General features: G+C 35.2%; 1 protein-coding gene across 4 annotated transcripts in view; it reads right to left on the reverse strand.

Moving 5' to 3' along the window:
* Window positions 3,885-19,167, reverse strand: part of STX7 (syntaxin 7) — a 67,606-nt gene continuing 52,323 nt past the window's right edge. For all 4 annotated transcript variants that reach the window (NR_137169.2, NM_001326579.2, NM_003569.3 and 1 more), the window contains one exon: window positions 3,885-18,868. Coding sequence is in view for 3 of the 4 variants with exons in the window: in NM_001326579.2 (NP_001313508.1) it covers window positions 18,776-18,868 (93 nt within the window). In the remaining variant the exon portion in view is untranslated. The remainder of the gene's footprint in view (window positions 18,869-19,167) is intronic.

The following is a 19,167-nucleotide window of genomic DNA, read 5'->3' on the forward strand; positions in this document are numbered from 1 at the left end:
TGTGCCAATATCACACTTTCTCAATTCCTGTGGCTTTATAGTAAATTTTGAAATCAAATGTGTAAGTCCATCAGTGTCAGTCTTTTTATTCAGAATTATTTTGGCTACTCTATGTCTTCTGCATTTCCCCATAAATTCTAGAATCAGCAAGTCAATTTCTATAAAAATTCCTATTGGGATTTTGATAGAGATTGAATGGAATTTGTAGATCCATTTGGAGATATCTGCCATCTTGACCATATTTAGCTTTCAATCAATAAATACAAAATACATCTCCAGGTATTTAGATATCTTTTGATATCTCTCAGCAATATTTTATAGTTTTCAGTGTACAGGCCTTACCCTTCTTTTGTAAAATTTATTTCTAAAAGCATTATACTTTTTTGATGCTGTGAATCAATAATTTTTTTCTTAATTTTATTTGTAGAATATTCATAAGAATAAAATTTTCTTAATTTTATTTGTAGAATGTTCATTGCTGGTATACAGAAATATAACTGTTTTTGCATACCGATCTTGTATCCTACAACTTTGTAAAACTCAGTTAATCTATTTGCTTTTTTGTAGACTTCTGATTCTCTACATAAATAGTCATGTCATCTGCAAGTAATGAGTTTTACTTCATTTCCCATCCAGATACCTTTCGTTTTCTTACCTTATTGCAATGGCTATAATCTCAATGACAATGTTAAATAAAAATAGTAAGAATGAATATCCTTTTCCTATTCTCAACCTCAGAAGCAAAGCACTCTGTTTTTCACCATTATAGATGATGTTAGCTTTGAGTTTTTTGAAGATACCCTTTATCAATCAAGCTAAAGAAATTTCTTTTCTTTCTAGTTTGTTGAGAGTTTTTATCATGAATGAGGATTGGATTTTGTCAAAAACATTTCTAAATCATGTGGGTTTTTGTTTTATTGTATTAACATATTACATTAATCACTTTCAGATATTAAATCAACCTTGCATTCTAACATGTGTTTTTTTCTTTTTCCTTTTTTTGGAGGCAGAGTCTCACTTTGTCACCCATCCTGGAGTACAGTGGTGCAATTTCAGCTCACTGCAATCTCCGCCTCCTGGGTTCAAGCAATTCTCCCGCCTCAGCCTCCTGAGTAGCTGGGATTACAGGCGTGCTCCACCATGCTTGGCTAATTTTTGTATTTTTAGTAGAGATGAGGTTTCACCATTTTGGCCTGGCTGGTCTTGAATTCCTGACCTCAAGTGATCCACCCACCTCAGCCTCCCAAAGTGCTAGGATTACAGGCATAAGCCACCACATCCAGCTCCTAACATGTGTTTTTAATGGCTATACCTAGTCTTTCCTCATTTTTATCCTACTATAACTAATTTTTATGAGCAAATACAGAGCTACATCAACTGGGGATCCTCCAAAATTGACAGTAAGAAACATGCTGTTGCATTTGCAGGCATGCCCAGGGTCCAGATAAGTATGCATAAATATTGTGTTGCCATAGTGATTAAGGGCATTCTTCCCAAGATGATTTGACAACAGCAAATCTTTTATAAGTACCTTCTCTAGAAGTATTTGGCAATGATCCTACCACTTCTCTGAATATTCAGTAGAAGTACAGATGAAGTAGGATGGTCTAGTAATTAAAAGTATGATCTCTGCAGACAGGCAGGCTCCCCAGTTCAAATTCTGGCTCTAGCATCTACTTGCTGTGTGACTGTGGGTAAGTTAAACTCTTTGAGCCTTAGATTTCTCATCTGTAAAATCCCTCTTTGGTAAAATGGGATAATAAAAGCTACCCCAAAGGGTTAATGGGAAGATTGCCAGTAAATGTTAAGTAGAACATACAGTTCAGTACCTGGCATGCAGAGCTCAACAAACAGTAGAAATTACGACTAAGACAGCTTCAACAATCCCCTCAGCTTGACTAAACTTCAGACAGGTTTCTTTGTGAGCATAGGCCCCTTTTCTTAGATCATTTACTTTAGAAAACTTGCAATTATAATTTCTTTCTCTATCCCTTTGTGAAGTAAATCTTCTACAACCCAGGAGCATCTTTCTCCAAAGCCTAAGAACCATGCCTTAGAAATGTAATCACCAAGAAAAATTGCACCTTTATTTCTTTGTATCTGTGGGAAAGGAGAAGCCTAACTTCAGTAGGTGCCAATTAGCAAACACAGATAGCCTGATCCCATTTACCGATCTCACCTCTAGTGTCTTTCAGTACTTACTAACTCACCTCAATGCTTAAAATTCTCCTGTCTGTTTCAGTGTGATTGAGTTCAATTTCTCCTCCATTGTGATAGTCTTGATCTCTTTTGCAATTGTCTTGAATAAAGTCTTCCTTGCCTAACTTGTCCAGTGTAACTTTTCTTACATTATAATGGTTATTATACGGAGAAAGAAGCATGGGTTCTCCTGGTTGTTTCAGCTGTATAACTTTAGTCAATATCCACTGGAGAGAATTTCAATAAAAGAAAACTATTTCTTTATGGGTTAAAAGGGATGGGCATGGGGGGCAAAATAAGAAGCACTGTGGTTCAATTACAGCGTTCTCATTTCTTCTGAAATCCTCTAGTTGAGTATTGTAATTTAAATGGAACAACTTATCTCCCTAAAAGACTGATTTTGAAAGACTATTTCCCTTTCCCTGTTAACTGCTCCCAACCCAACAGCCATCATCATTTTTAAAGGAATTCTAAGGGCAAAGAAACTAAGAATCTAAGAGAATGTAATACAATTGATGACCCAAAGAAAAGCAGCACATATTAAATTGTGACTTAAATGCTATTCAAAACATAAAATCGTGCCATTGTAGTATGTGTTTGCCTGTGTGTCTGTGCCTTTATTTCTCAATGATGAATTATATTTCAATGAAAAAGAATAATGCCTTCCAAGTAATAGTATCGTTATATAAGAGACAATTATGCCACTAAATTTAGATAATTTAGAAATAGTCTTAAGGAGAGAAACAAAAATTAAAAAGTATTGAAATACAAAGTAAGGAACTGAGATTATTGTTTTTCTCAATGAAGATAATATTTACTTTTGCTTTAAGATCTAGATATGACAAATGTTTTCTGGTTAACAATTTATCCAAAAAGAAAAAAGAATGTCAACCTTTTTTTTTTCTCTATTCCAGAGAGCTCCAGAAGGTTTTTAGATTTAAAAAAGAAAACAAAAAACAATAATAATACTCAAATGTCATATTGGAAGCCTTAGGCAAGAGCTGTTGGTCTTTTAATTTGCTCTTAATACTATGATCAAATAAAAAGAAGGAAAATTTTACAAATCATTAACAGCTTCGAGGATGAGGGAAGAACAGATTTTCAAGCATTCTTCTTTATTTAGTCAGAAATGACTGGCTCAACCTCAGCCTACTTCTCTGAGGCACATTCCTACCAACTCTTGCATATTAAATTTTGCCAGAGCAATGGGCCTGACATGGCCTTTTGAATCACAGTGAATCACAGTGACCCTTATCCAACTGAATGTCTCCTCCAATCATGTTTAATGTACATCAAGCATTCTACAGTGCCAAGATGAAGACCTGCATTGTTTTTTTAAAACCCACATTACCTTGTCATTGTGTAAGAGAAAGATATATTTAGGATTGAAGGGTGCTTCTTATTAGACCCATTCAGGAAGAAAGTAAGTCTAGAGGAGCCAAGCTCAAAACATACTCTTCACCATACACAATCAAATTCCTCTCAGAAATAATGTTCTTCTTCTCCATCTATATTTTGGAAAATTACATGAAAATCAGTAGATACTTGTAATGCAATCAGTGCTGAATTATTACTCAACAAGCTGAGTCTTCGAGGGCACCAGCAAAACAGCAGGAATGACTAAGAAAAGTTTAACTTTGATGAATTTATGTAGCGTCTTGAAATAAAATGTAAAAATGAAGCCATTTTCATTTCAGTATTCAGAGTTTTATAACATTTTGAAAAAGTAAATTTTCTTTTGAAGATTTTATAAATTACACATGGGGTTGTTATTACAATCTCTTCAGTGTTCAAGGTTTCTAAAATTCTCAATTCAGCCCTGGATACAAAAACTCTAAACACAGAGGGTTAAGGTATTAAAGATGAAAGCTAGTACCCTTACAACTATTTATATTGCAAAAGCTTTGCCCTCCTGCAAGAACATGCAGTTTCCCAAACAGTAACCTCTCTTTACAAGGTTATGCTTATTAGCTGGGATTCGAAGCTCAATAGCAACACTGTTCATCCATGGTTCAATTCAGATTGTAATTTCTTTTTAAACTACCTGACCCTTATAATCATATGGTGAGTTGGTCTGATCATTCATCTTCTCGAGGCCAAGTACTTGGTCTGAACACAGAGTCACTTGTGTTTCTGAAGCCTCTCTGCATCAAGATGATTGGGGTGAAAAACTGTCAATTGAAAAAAGTTTGAAAGAAACCTTTTATACAATGTTTTCATTGTCTTGTTCTTTTTCTGGAACCACAATTTCTGATTGGGAAAACAAAAGTCTTCCTAGATACAAGAATGAGGTTTTAAGAGATAATCTTTGTTTCTAATTAAGTGTGGAAGCTATCAACTATCGCATTGTCCCCAATGTCAGAATGTGCTGAATAAGATTTTGCTTTTTCTCAGGGCCCAGCATTTATTAAGCACTCAGCAAATGCTTACTAAATGAATGAATGACTCTACCCAAGCTTGTGTCTTTGTCTCGAAGCTGTATCTTCCATCACAGTATTAAAATGTTTTTTATGAACATGAGCATCTGGCTGCACATACAGAGCAGCACATTCCACACACTGCCCTAATTGGATCACCAATTGGAGGAAAGTAAGTCACAAGCTGATTGCCTAGAGTGGGTTTTTCCCCATCTCTGAACCAATCTCTGAGGCAAAAAGAATGCTATTAGGCTGACTGATTTATGTAAAGCAGTGCCTATCATTTCTGCAGTTAGGATGGAGTCAATTCCATCCAAAGCCAATAGAAGAGAGACAGTACTCTAAAAGAAGGCCTAGGAGCCATGAATAACTGCCGAGGGTACCATAGACACTGGGTTGGACAAGCAAGAAATAGTGACGATGTGACTTCTATTTTTATGATGGCTCAGCGGAAAATTAGTAAATACAACCAGTGTGTTAGAAATAATTCCGTATCTCCTAAGATACATTGGTTAAAAAGATACTAATAAGTTTTTGTGCGTGTAACATTTGACACCAGGCTTTTAAGTAAAACACCCTAAGATGGAACTTACTGTGTAGTGGAAAGAGTTAGACTCACTAGACATTGATTAGCTGACTGACATAGAGCGTTTCTTATCAGTCAACAAAACTATTTCCAGAGAGGCTTGAAATAAAACAGTTGACTTTATGTAGATTATGGTTAATATCTTTTGCAGATTTTCTAAGAAATCTTTCCCTATCAGAGGTCCCCAAAACATTCCTTTATCATTTTCCTTCTAAATCTTTTATACATGCTTAAGAAATATGCACATGCTCTAAATTGGGGGAACATGATCCTTTATGTATTAATTGAATCAACTTTGGTTACCATGTTGTTCTATTTACTTTTTTGCTGCTCGAGCTAAAAATTGAGTGACTTCAAATACAACATAATAGTTTTTTTTTCCGTTTTGCCCTCTACATTTTTACTTTAATAACTTTGTTTAGAACTGTTATACCTACTTCAGTTGAAATTTTTATTATTTTTGAGAGTCTCCTTATCCTTATTAATGCTTTTCACTTTAATATTTGTAAGGCTAATACTGATACAGCTATCCTAACCAGGTATATTTGCTTGTTTTATTTTCCCTAATTCTACTTTTTGTCTTTCTCTGTCCTTGTACTGTCTTTTGTAAACTGTATATATTGAACAAGGTAGACTTTTTTTTTTATTAATCTGGTGAGATAGGCAATTTATATTTATTGTAACCATTTATTATATACTATGCCATTTCTTTGCTTTTTCTATGCTTTTTCTTCCTTCTTGCATTTTTGTGGTCTATCAAAGTTGGGATTTCTAAAGTGTTTTTCCCTTATTTCAGAATGTTTCCTCTCTACTGGTTTGAAAGTTATATTGTATTGCTATTCTTTAAAGGTTATCTGAAAATTTTCTGTTAAGTACTTAGATTAACAACATCTAAAGTCATTCATTATCTTAACTTCCATCCTAAAGAGTATCAGGATCTTGGAGCACTCACACTAACTTCTAAGTGCTCCCGGACACTTTCCCCACATATACATTTCCTGAGTTATGTAAAATGTTGCTAGTATTTTAATTACGCTCTTTTTTACTCCACAGAGTAAATACTTCTTAATATAGACAGTATTTATTTACATTTCCCATGATTACTGATTTTTTAGCTCACCATACCTTCTTGCATCTCAGACTTTCCTCCTAGTCATTTTGCTGTACTCTAAAATTCATCTTTATTCTTAAGTGAAAGTCCCTTGTTTGTAAATTCTCATTTTGAGAAAAAAGTGTTTTTAATATACCCTTGATTTTGAAAGATAATTTCACTGGGCACTCATTCTATTGAGTTATTCTCTCAGTACCTTAATGATGTTATTCCACTGTCTTTTGCCTTCCAGTTTTGGCACTGAAAAGTCTACTGTTGGCCAGGTGCAGTGGCTCATGCCTCTAATCCCAGCATTTTGGGAGGCCAAGGCAGGTAGATCACCTGAAGTCAGGAGTTCGAGAACAGCCTGGCCAACATGGCAAAATCACGTCTTTACTAAAAATACAAAAAAATTAGCCAGGTTGTGGTGGCGCACACCTGTACTCCCAGCTACTCGGGAGGCTGAGGCAGGAGAATCAATTGAACCCGGGAAATGGAGGTTGCAGTGAGCAGAAATCACACCACTGCACTCCATCATGGGTGACAGAGCAAGACTCTGTCTCAAAAAAAAAAAAAAAAAAAAAAGGTCTGTCAATTCGTTATTCCTTTAAAAGTGGATAAGTTATTCTGGCTGCTTTTAAGATATCTTTGCCTTTATTGTTCTGAAGTTTGAGTATAATGAATATACATTGGCTTCCTTTTCCTGGTTGATATACATTTTGCTTCTTGTATATGTGGATCCACTTTTTTTTTTTTTAGACAGGGTACAGTGGCACCATCATAGCTCACTGCAGCCTTGAACTCCTGGGCTCGTGTGATCCTCCCTCCTCAGCCTCTTGAGTAGCTGGGACCACAGGTGTGTGCCACCATGCCTGGCTAATTTTTGTATTTTTTGTACAGATGGAGTTTCACCATGTTGCTCAGGCTGGTCTTAAACTCTTGGGCTCAAGTGATCCTCCCACTTGAGCCTCCCAAGTAGCTGGGACTACTGGTTCATGTCACCACATCTGGCTAATTCTTAATTTTTTTTGTAGAGATGGAGTGGGGGCTCTTGCTTCATTTCCCAGGTTGATCTCAAACTCCTGGCTTCAAGTGATCCTTCTGCTTTGGCCTCCCAAAATGCTGTGATTACAGGCATAAGCCACCATACCAGGTCCCAGGCTTTTCTTAGCTCTGGAAATTTGTCAGCAATTACCTCAATTTTTTTCTATTTTTTACTTCTTAGACTCCAATCAGCACATATTAAACCTTCCCATTCTATCCTTCAGGTCTCATAATCTCTAATTCTTATTTTCTATCCCTTTACCTGTTTTTGCTGCAATATGTTGTTTCCTCAGTTAAAACTTGATAGTCAACAATTCCTTTAGTTGTGGTGAATCTGCTCTTAAACCATTCATTATGTTATATATTTCAATAATTAAATTTCATACCTAAGTTGTCTTTGGTTCTTTTTAATATCTGCCTTTTAACACATCTCTCATTTCATGTTCGTTTTAATTCATACATTATTTAAACATATAACTGTTATTCTACTTCTGCTAATTGCAATACCTGAATTCCTTGAATATCTAAATCTACTGTTTCTCAATGCAAATGGTGTGTTTCCTTGCATGTTTGATTAATCTAGAAGCATTAATTAGGGAGGCTTTCCTTCGGAGGGGATTTTCATCCACTTCTTAGAGTAACCACCAGAGTCCACTGACTTAGGACTACTTTAATGCTTTAAAGCATTCCTGGTTTTATGAAGGAATCTTAGGTTCACTTTCTTTACTTTGCCTGGAGTCCATGGCTTAAGTCTCAGAGGCACAGTTTTCCTGTTTCTCAACTACTTTAATTTTAGCCCACTCTCATTGGTAATAGCCTTTAGTGATTATCTTTCTTTCTAATGAGCCAGGAAATGAACTAATATTATGTGTGTTGTATTTTATCCAAGAACTAACTGTATTTTAGCAGGAGGATCCTTGAGTATACCTAGTCAACCATATGGCAGGAAGCAGAAATCATCTACTTCGTAGTTGATTTTGGTAATTTGCATTTTTCATATAAATTATTCATTTTCTGTTTTGTGATATATTGGCATAAAGTTGTTTATAGTGTCTTATTATTTTAAAATCTATGTTTGGTTATTTATCTGTACTTTCATTCCTAAATTTTTTATGTCTTCTGTTTTTTTCCAAATCGGTTTCACCAAGTTATGTGTACTTTATTTATTTAAAGAGACCAACTTTTGTTTAAATTGATCCTCTCAAAAAAAAAAAAATTGATACTCTCTTCTATAGTATAGGTTTATACTCCAGGGGTCAACCAACATTTTCGGTAAAGGGCCAGAAATTTTAAAATTGAAAAATGCAGGAATCAATATGAAACACTTAATTGATAGGCTCAATAGCAGAATGGAAGCTACTGCAGAAAGAATGAATAAATCTGAAGATAAAATGATAGAAATTACACAGTCTGAACAACAGAAGAAAACAGGCAGAACAAAGATGAACAGAACCTCAGGGACTTACGGAACTACAATAAATCTAACATTTGTGTCATCAGAGTCTCAAAAGAAAGAAGAAAGAAGGAAGACTGAAAAAGTTCTTGAAAAAAATGACAGCTGAAAACTCCCCAAAATTGGCAAAAGACATAAACATATAGATGGTGAGAAGACCTCAAATATAATAAACCCCCCAAATCTACAAGATACATCATGGTTAAACAACTAAAAACTAAACACAAAGGAAAAAAAGAAAAAGAAAAAAGACAAATGACACCTATCTATAGGGACCAAAACAATTTAAAAAACTGGATTTCTCATGGGGAACCATGAAATTTTCTTTCCTTTTTTTTTTTTTTGACAAGGAGTCTCGTTCTGTTGCTCAGACTGGAGTACAGTGGTGCGATCTCAGCTCACTGTAATCTCCGCCTACGGGTTCAAGTGATTCTCCTGCCTCAGCTTCCCAAATGGCTGGGATTACAGATGTGCACCACCATGCCGGCTAATTTTTGTATTTTTAGTAGAGGCGGGGTTTCGCCATGTTAGCCAGGCTGGTCTCAAACTCCTGACCTCAAGTGATCTGCCCGCCTTGGCTTCCCAAAGTGCTGGGCTTACAGGCGTGAGCCACCCCTCTTGGCTGGAAGTGGCAGAACAATTTTCAAGTGCTGAAAGAAAAGAACTATAAACCTACAAGTCTATGTCTAATGTAAATATTCTTCAGATATCAAGGGAAAATCAAGACATTTTCAGATGAAAGAAAACTGAGAGAATTTGTTGCCAATGGAACTACAATAATAATAATAAGGCTAAAGGAGTGCTCTAAACAGAAAGGAAATGATAAATGAAGGAGTTTTGGAATATCAGACATCAAAAGTCTAACAAAAAATACAACCAAAAACTCTACATATAAATCTGAGAGCTTAGATGAAATGGACTAATTCATCTAAAAATACAAACTGTCACAACTCAATATGAAATAGATAAATTAAACAGCCATATAACTATTGTAAAAGTGGAAATTACAATAAAAAGAACTCCCTCCCCCAAAATCTCCAGGCCCAGATGATTTCATTGGAAAGTTCTATCAAATGTTTTAAAAAGCGCTGACACCAATTCTATACAATCCGCTTTAGAAAACAGAAGAGAAAGGAATACTTTCCAGTTCATTTTGAAGCTAGTATTACCCTGATACCACCAACCAGTATGTCGCATTAAAACAGATGCAAAAATCCTTAACAAAATATTAGCCAAAAGAATTAAGCTATATATACAAAGATACACCACGACCAAGTGGAGTTTATCTCAGGGATGTAACAATGGCTCAACATTCAAAAATCAATCAATGTATCTACCACATGAATGGGCTAAAGAAGAAAAATGGCATTATGTAAATTAAGGCAGAAAAAGCATTTGACAAAATTCAACATAAAATTCATAATAAAAACTTGCAGAAAAAAAGGAATAAAAGATAACTTCCTTAACTTTAGCAAGAGCATCTACTTTAAAAACCTACAGCTAACATTATACTTCATGGTGAAACACTGAATCCTTTCTGCCTAAGACCAGAAACAAGCCAAGGATCTCTACTCTCACTGCTTTTATTTCTGCTGGAATTTCTACCCACTGCATTAAGGGACTGAAAGGAAAAAAAAAAGGAATATAGGTCAGAAATGAAGAGATAAAACTATTCATTATTTGCAGATGACATGACTATCTATATAAAAAAAAAATCCCAAGGAATCAATCAAAATCCCCTAAAATGAGTAAGTGGGCTCAATAAGGTCTCAGTATACAAAATAGAAAAATTCACTTTATTTCTATGTACTTAGAATAGACATGTGAACAGGAAATTCAAAATACAATGCCATTTACAATCTCTCTCAAAAATTAAATTGCTTAGGTATAAATCTAACAAAACATGTACAGACCTTGTATGCTGAAAACCACACAATACTGATGAAGGAAAACAAAATTTAACTGAAATGAAGTGAAGTGATCCTGTGATCATGATCGGGAAGGCTTAACATGGTAAAGATGTCAAATCTCCCCAAATTGATGTATAGGTATAACATAGTTCCTGTCAAAATCCCAGTAAGATATTTGAATAGATACAGACAAGATTATTCCAAAGTTTATACGGGAAGACAAAGGAACTAAGTGGCTAAAACAATTTTGAAAAAGAAAGTGGAATAAACCAGCCTATTTGATTTCAAGACTTACTACAGTAATCAAGATTTTGGTGTTGGTGGAGGTATAGACACATAGTCTAATGGAAAAGAATAGAAAACCCAGATATAGACCCACACGAATGTGCCCAACTGATTTCTCATTAACTCATTTTTGCTCAACTGATTTTTGACAGAGGTGCAAAAACAATTCAATGGACAAAAAAGAGCCTTTTCGACAAATATCATGTTGGAGTAATTGAATATCCATAGGCAACAACAAAAAAAATGAACCCAGACCTAAGTCTCACATTTTATACAAAATTAACTGAAAATGGAATATAGACTTAAAAGTAAAACGTAAACTATAATACTTTTAGAAAACAACATAAAAGAGAAAATTTGGGGGATCTAAGGAGAGAGGCAAAGTTCTTGATACCAGAAGCATGATCCATAAAAAGAAAAATGGATAGAGTGGACTTCATCAAAATTAAACACTTCTGCTCTGTGAAAGGCCCAGAAAAGAGAAATGAAAAGACATGCTACTGACTGGGAGGAAATATTTGCAAATCACACATCCAACAAAGGACTAGTATCTAGAAAAAAATACACACACACACACACAGAGGCACACACACACATTATTTAAAAGCCCTCAAAACTCAACAGAAAAAAAATCCAATTAGAAAAGACATGAAGAAACATGTCACTAAAGAAGAGATACAGGTGGCAAATAAGCATATGAAACAAAGATGCTCAACATCATTGCCATTAGCGAAGGGAAAATGGTAAATCAAAACTGCAATGAGCTGTCACTATACACTTATCAGAATGACTAAAATAAAAAAGAGACACCACCAAATGCTGAAAAGGACATGAAGCAACTAGATCACTCATACACCACTGGTGGGTATATAAAATAGTACAGCTACTTGGTATAAGTTTGGCAATTTCTTAAAAACTAAACATTCAACTACTATATGACCCAACTACTATATAACTGCTGGGCATTTGACCCAGAAAACTAGATTATGTTCACACAAAAACTTGTACACAAATGTTTATAGCAACTTTATTTATAGTAGCCAAAAACTGGCCCAATGTCTCTCAGCAGGTGAACAGTTAAACAAACTGTGGTACATCTATACTATGGGATTCTATTCACACTAAAAAGTACCTGTCAATAGACTTGATACACATAATAAGCTGGATTAACCTCCAGAAAATCATGCTAAATGAAAAAAAGCCAATCCCAAAAGGTTACATATTATTATGATTCCAGTTATACAGCTTTATTGAAATGAAAAAAAAAAAAACTATAAAAATGGAGAACAGATTATGGTTGCCAAGGGTTAAGAAGGGAGTAGGGATGGGAGTGAAGTGGGTATGGTCATCAAAAGCAAGATGAGGGATCCCTGTGCTAGAAAAAGTTCTGTGTGGAAACGTTCTCTATCTTAGCTATACCAGTGTCAGTATCCTGGGTATGATATTGTATGACAGTTTTGAAAGATGTTCACTGTGTGGGAAACAAAGTGAAAGGTACACGAAAGAGGTCTCTGTATTATTTCTTACAACAGCATGTGAATCTAGTTTCTCAAAAGTTTAGTTAAAAATACTAGCATTAAACATATTTTATACTTTATAAAGAATGGGCTCTATTTCAAATGTCCATACCATTCCAAAGGAAAGTATTGGTCACATACTCCATTCTAGATTTAAAGAAAATTTAAAACAACATAGAAAATTTCTAAATGACTAAGAAAAATGTTTGACCACAGATCAGGAAAAGACATAAGGACAATAGGGTAGCCCTAATTTTGAACAAAAAATGTTTGTTTATTGCCTCCAAGATAGAACATGAATTTCTTGAACAAGAAATGTTTATTGCCTCCAAGATAGAACTAACGTGAATGATATATAACTAAGGTTATCTTACTATTAGCAAATTTTGGTATATACCCACTGCAAAATAGTACTTAAATGTTAAAACTATGATAACCTTTATGAGGCTGAACATTAAATCTGGCCCTGGGAAGAGGTTGGATGTGGCCTGAGGCACATTGAAAATGCCTCGAAATGAACTCAAAACGACCACAGTACCTAGGTTTGAGATAAGAATGAAATAAAATATATTCCCCATTAAAATCTTGCTTATTTTTAGAATCATTACTGACAGAAGGATCAGCTTTGATCTGAGAGCTTTTCACCGTCAAGTTTTTAGCTATACAAGTTATTAAAAAAGCAAAAGCTTGCATCTTACTTGGATTAAAAACCTAATTTCTAGAAAACAGGTTCTCTTCTTTCTGGTCTGAGTTTAACATTTCAGATCTCCCATTAAACAACTGATCAAAAAACTTTCAGAGGGCATTAAAAAGTGAAACTAGGTATCAGAAAAATCTTAGTCGAGGCTAAATAACTGCATTTATAAGCTTTCTACCAATGCTATTAGGTGTTGGAGTTAGTAACTACTGCCTAACGATACTTACAGTAAACACTTAAAAATTTGTACTTTGGGTTGGCCAAAGTGGGAATTAATGCCCTTTCAAGTTTATTTAAAGATTCAATTCAGTTCTAGAAAACTCCCTCGTCAACAAGTAGAGGTGTTGTGCGTGTAACGACTGGACAGGAAATCTGGTTTTGCCTTCCACCACTTACATTTTAAGCATAAATGCCATCACTACACAAAACCTACGGGAATCCCACTCTAAGCAATTAAGTGACCAACCTCTTAAAAACTTGCCAGAAGCTACAGTGTCTACAAAAACCTATTTAGTGTGTTATTTAGCTCTATTTCTGCATTTAAAATTAGGATTATTTGGAGAAAAATATTACATAATATTCATGTTAACCAAATGATTACAAAAACAAAGAATTAAAATTGGTGTATTGATATGGTATTTGAATAATGAGAAAATGGGCCAATAGGAAGATTTTCTTCTTTATTCCTATTTGATTTAAAAGAAAAAGATTTGCCAAGGGATGGGTAGGGTTAAATTAAAAACATTTTAAGAAACATTTCTTTATATGGAGCATACTTACTGTTTTTGCTTTGAGTGCATTCTGATGAAATATAGATTCCAAATTCCCCTTGGATCTCACCCTTCTGTCTAGTGCTTTGCCCTCTATTTGGGGCAGTAATTCTATACATATCCTGTAAATGTCTGTCCTGATGATCAGGATGCCCAAGCTCTGAATCCAACTGCTGCCACCAAGAGAACGGCTCCTTTTTGGAGCCATTACACACAGATCATCACTCAAATCAGTAGTTTCTCTTTAGAAAACTAGCAATTTTCTGGTAGTCTGTCAATTAAGAAAAGAAAATGAAATTCAGTTACTTAGTAAGGAAAACTGGATAAACAGGAGGCTGGTCCAAACGGAGATTTATATTTAGACATTCCCTTTCTTCCTTGCCTCATTCCTTTCACACAGCTATTTCCCTTCTTTTAACACACCAAGTTCTTTTTATATGCCAAATAACAAAACATAAACTCCCTGAGGGCAGGAAGCTTATTCTTTTGGTTCACTCTTAGAACACTATGCCCAGGCATGTAGTAGCCTGGCAAAAAGCCGGCCCCAAATAAGTGCCAAATTAAGTATTTATTAAGCAACTACTACGGGAGGGAAGGAAGAAGGGAAGGAAGGAAGGAAACTGTGTTAAGTCCTGGGGCCCCAGAAGCTTAGTATATGTATTTTTTATTTTGGTTGGAAAAAAATGACTTGCTTACCATCTAGAGCCAATGCTTCTAAATTTTTCCATCAAAGAATCTTTAATGAAAGTGAGGAAAATTCTGAGGCTTCCACTTCACGTGGTTTGAACTGTACATCTCAGTGTTTGTTTCACAATTATGCTAGACTGTCAACTCACTTCTCTTTCTAGAATGTCCTCTGCAGTGCAGGTAGACCAGAAACCACACTTCCCACAAACTCCTTCTGTCTCTGGTTCTAAGTTGAGAGTTGACCATGAGAAAAGGAGAGACCATCTTTCCTCAGAGGCCACTGCAGACAGAAGTGTAGGCGGGCAGAGGACATGAGTTTCACAGCAGTTTCAAAATCTCTTGCAAGGCACTGGCTTTGGAGCTATTAACAGCTGACAGCTGGGGACAGCTCCCTGAGACACACTGTCAGTGCTGCACGCCAACAGCACAGCCTTCTGGATGTTCTCAAGAGTCACAGCAGTGCCTGGGCCAGCTCCTGAGATCCACCCACTTTGGGGCCGCAGACACCTTCCTCACCCACCCTTTTGATGTCTAATTCCCTATGTTAAAACACTTTACACTTATAATCCATCAAGTGGTTTCTGTTTTTCTAACTGAATTGTTAAAATATGCAAAATTCACATTAAAGAAGTTTCCTACCTATCTTGTGACCTCAGTGAATGAGATGCTGCTTTATCCAATCTACTGACTTTGGAAAATCCAGCTGAAATGAGGAAAGATAATCGTGCATGTCTGGCAACCAGGTAATTTCTTTCCTATCTTTCATGTCACAGTATTTTGAGGACACAAATTCCTAAATACTCAGAAAAAAATGGTTTTATCTTAATTGATTTATAAATTATGTTAGGGTAGTTGTTAAACAGAATTTTGTCAAAGAAGCAGTACACTGTAACACTTTCAGGCTCCCATTGGTTTAAAATTTGATAAGTGTATTTCTTTGCTGACAAGTCAAACTGTTCAAATGTTATGGAGGACTAAAAAGGCCTGGGATTCACAGGCTCATTTTTTGTTTTAACTGAATCATGAAAATACACAACTTTTTTTTTTCCAGGAAAGACAGATGTTATTTACCACCAATGAATTTTTATCATATTTAAATGAACTTGAAAATGTCATTCAACTCAAATCCCTCAATCAACTTACTTCAGCCCATTCTGAAACTTCATATTGCAGCAAACCAGCCATGTGAAAGAAATAAATTCAATTTTGACTTTCAAAAAAAATAAATGCTGCATAAGTTACCCTTGTGGACCTTAGCTATTAAGGTGGACAATGACTTTATTTTCTTTACGTAAGTTTTATATTTTATTATGACATTCATTTTTTCTACATGAAGACACAAATAAAAATTATACCAACTACATAAACTATTTTGTACTTTCCTTGCTAAACCACAGATGTATTTCATGGAAAGAGGGGCCTTTAAAGGCACTTATTTATCATTGTAGGTGTGTCTAAACAATTGATATTCAAAAACACAACTTTTTGTGTACAAAATTTTACAATTTTTAACAAAAGCAGTGAAGACACTAAATAACCCAGTGGCGACCTCTTCAAAGTGCAGTGTCCTTGGTCACCAATGCAGATGCTACTGGGGCAGCCAGCGGGCTCAGAGGGTCCAACTCCAGACACTGCATCCATGGCTGTCCTAGACTGAGTTGCACTTGTAAAAGAGATGGTCCCACACCTACTAAAAAAACAAGCTACTCTAGTATCAATATGACATCACTCTTTTACCATCAATCATATTGCAAAACCATAGTATTTAACGACCAATAAACAGCCAAATACCTAATGCCACATTGTCGTTCAATTTACCTGGCTGGTTAATATCAGTCTGTGTTTGAGTATTTCTTTTGAGCACACAAAAACAAATGTATAGTCACTTGATGAGGAAATTCTTCACTTTGACTCAAATGGATTCACCATGCTGTCAGTTATGAAAACAACTCTAATTTTAATCTCCACAGGGCAACCTTCACTTTTCACAGCAGTTCTAAAACTGACCTACAGAAAAGTTCAAGATTTTTTAAAAAATTTGGCTACCATACTATGTTTCTTATTTAATTTTCTCTAATCAATACTACTCTTACGTTCCAAATATTTCATGGGAAATTTTTCCCTCAAACTTAATATGTTTCTTAAACAAATTGAAGCCACTAAAGTTCCTGTTTAAACCACTGATAACTGCCCCAGTTAAAATAATAATAATTTAAAATGATTACACTTCAAATAAAGGTACTAAAATCACGCCCCCCAAATTTGTAAGCGCTTTTGTTGTTATTGGGTACTCACTGTGAATAGAAGTAAATGTACTTGACCTGTATGAGAATAAACATTTTATCAAGTACAGCAAAAAAAACGGAACTGATTGTGAAAGCCATGGGGATGGGACTTTAAAACAGCGGTAAGACGCTGGTTTATCACCAGAAACCTCATGTGCCTCTGTGCACTTGAAGTAAAGACCACATTTGAGCAGGCCTGGTGGGCTGGCACAGGCCTCAGAACAGGTGCTGTTTGTGTGAATTCTCCTCCCTGCATTGTCCATTCTGTTCTAGGGCAGTCTGATTCTGGCAACAGGAGTCTCTAAGTTCCAATCACTCACTCACAAAAGAGTTTTCTGTAATCCCTTTTGTGGAAAAAAATGGAGTTTTTCTGATATGCAAAGCAACTTCTACCAGTCTGACAAAGTAGGTAAAATCGATGACACCCTAAAATAAAAACCTGGAGTGAACTGGTGCTCCAGAAAGATGCTGAATGGCCACAGTGCATGTGGTGATGTCTCCATGCTGAGGTTTCAGGCAGCACAGCACTAAGTATCAGGTGACCTGTGGTCCCACCAGAGCATAGTCCTCATGAAATAGGCCTAACCAGATACCTTTTAACTCATCTTTATTTTGGTTGCAAAGATGTGGTTTACTTAGCTACTTACTATTTGTTCCCATTTGAAGTCTCAGAGCTTGCCAAGTTAAACACCGCCTTCAGTACCGAGCTGCTATACAAGAACATTATAAAATACAAAGTATAAACTAAGATAATCCTCTTTACAGAATTCAGATTAGTGCATTAAAACAACATTGATTTAAAAAGGGAAGTGAGATAACTGGCAAACCTCCAATTGCTTTTTTAATGAAGGATGACACAAAATGGCACGCAAGGTAAACACTAAATTTTGTCAGGTGCTCAAAAACAGTTAATTGTGGGAAAGTTACTTTCCAAAAGTAATTTTGACCTAAAAATATTAACCATTATTCTATAAGACATAAGGGAAGGTAAATAATGGCCCACAAAACCAGATGATATGGTTAAGATAACTAGTTTAGTGGAATAACAAACTGGGGTCTTAAGAATCCAAACGCAATAGGTATTGGTATTGGTTGTTCATACTCTTCTTCCAAATTATGTTAAACATTTTTAGTAACTACACTTTCCCCCGTAAACATCAGACTTAAATAGACCATATGTAAAAACAACCTATCCTTAGTAATTTTACTAGGCAATCTACAGCAAAAGCTTAATATATACACAGAAAGAGTATCAAATAAACTAGAAAAGTATTCACCGACTTCAGGGTAAAAAAGATCTTAAAAGAAAACCAACAAAAAAATGAAAGACACTTTGTGCTGTTGTGAACCAGAAAAATACAACCCATGTATAGACCTTAATTATTTTACATTATTGAGAATATTTTCCCTGCTGAAGCAAATCAAAATTAAATTTGAGAATTTTAATTGAAGTAACACACATCTAGGTGTGTCACAGTGACAGGGAGATGCAAACAGAATACACACACCTTTAAATTTACGAATTCCCAAAACTAAGTCAAGCAGGGTAAATAAATTATAAATGAAAGGCATATGCAATGTGGGCAAAAACTTAACAACTATTAAATTGAAGACCAAGGGAGTTATGTCAGCAGTGACATTTAGAAAATCTTTCAGTATTAGAAAATATCAGATTTAATCCAAAGGAACCACCCCAACCCCCCCAATAAAAATAACAAAGTATGGGAACCATCCTTTATACAATAGCTTTAAAATAATAATTAAAAAAACATGATTACAGGAATCTTCCTACATAATTTAGACAATGTAGTGCGACAGTGTGCTCCTTTATAACTTCAGTGGTTCAATCCCCATATGATGAGACTGATAATCGCAACTCCAATGACAAGGATAAGAATGATGATGCACAGGGTTTTTCTGGATTTGCGCTGCAGACGCAAAAAACAAAACAAAACAAAAAAACATGTTTACAGATTTAGTGGAGTACCTCTACAGCAACTAAAAATAATTTGGTTCATTTCTAGAGTAAAATCAGTAGTAGTATATTGCCCTCAAATTTTTGACTGTGTTTTTTTGTTCCTCAAAAATCTCTTTAATACATATGGCACTATTCTTTCAAAAAAATTCTTGAACTAATGCTACAATTAAGGGAGCAATTTTTCAACTTTCATTGGTAATTTTTCTAAGGGTGTGGCTGACCTTAAGAAAGAAGACACCACTAAATAAG

This window comes from Homo sapiens, chromosome 6 (genome assembly GCF_000001405.40).
Source record: "Homo sapiens chromosome 6, GRCh38.p14 Primary Assembly".
Lineage (NCBI taxonomy): Eukaryota > Metazoa > Chordata > Mammalia > Primates > Hominidae > Homo > Homo sapiens.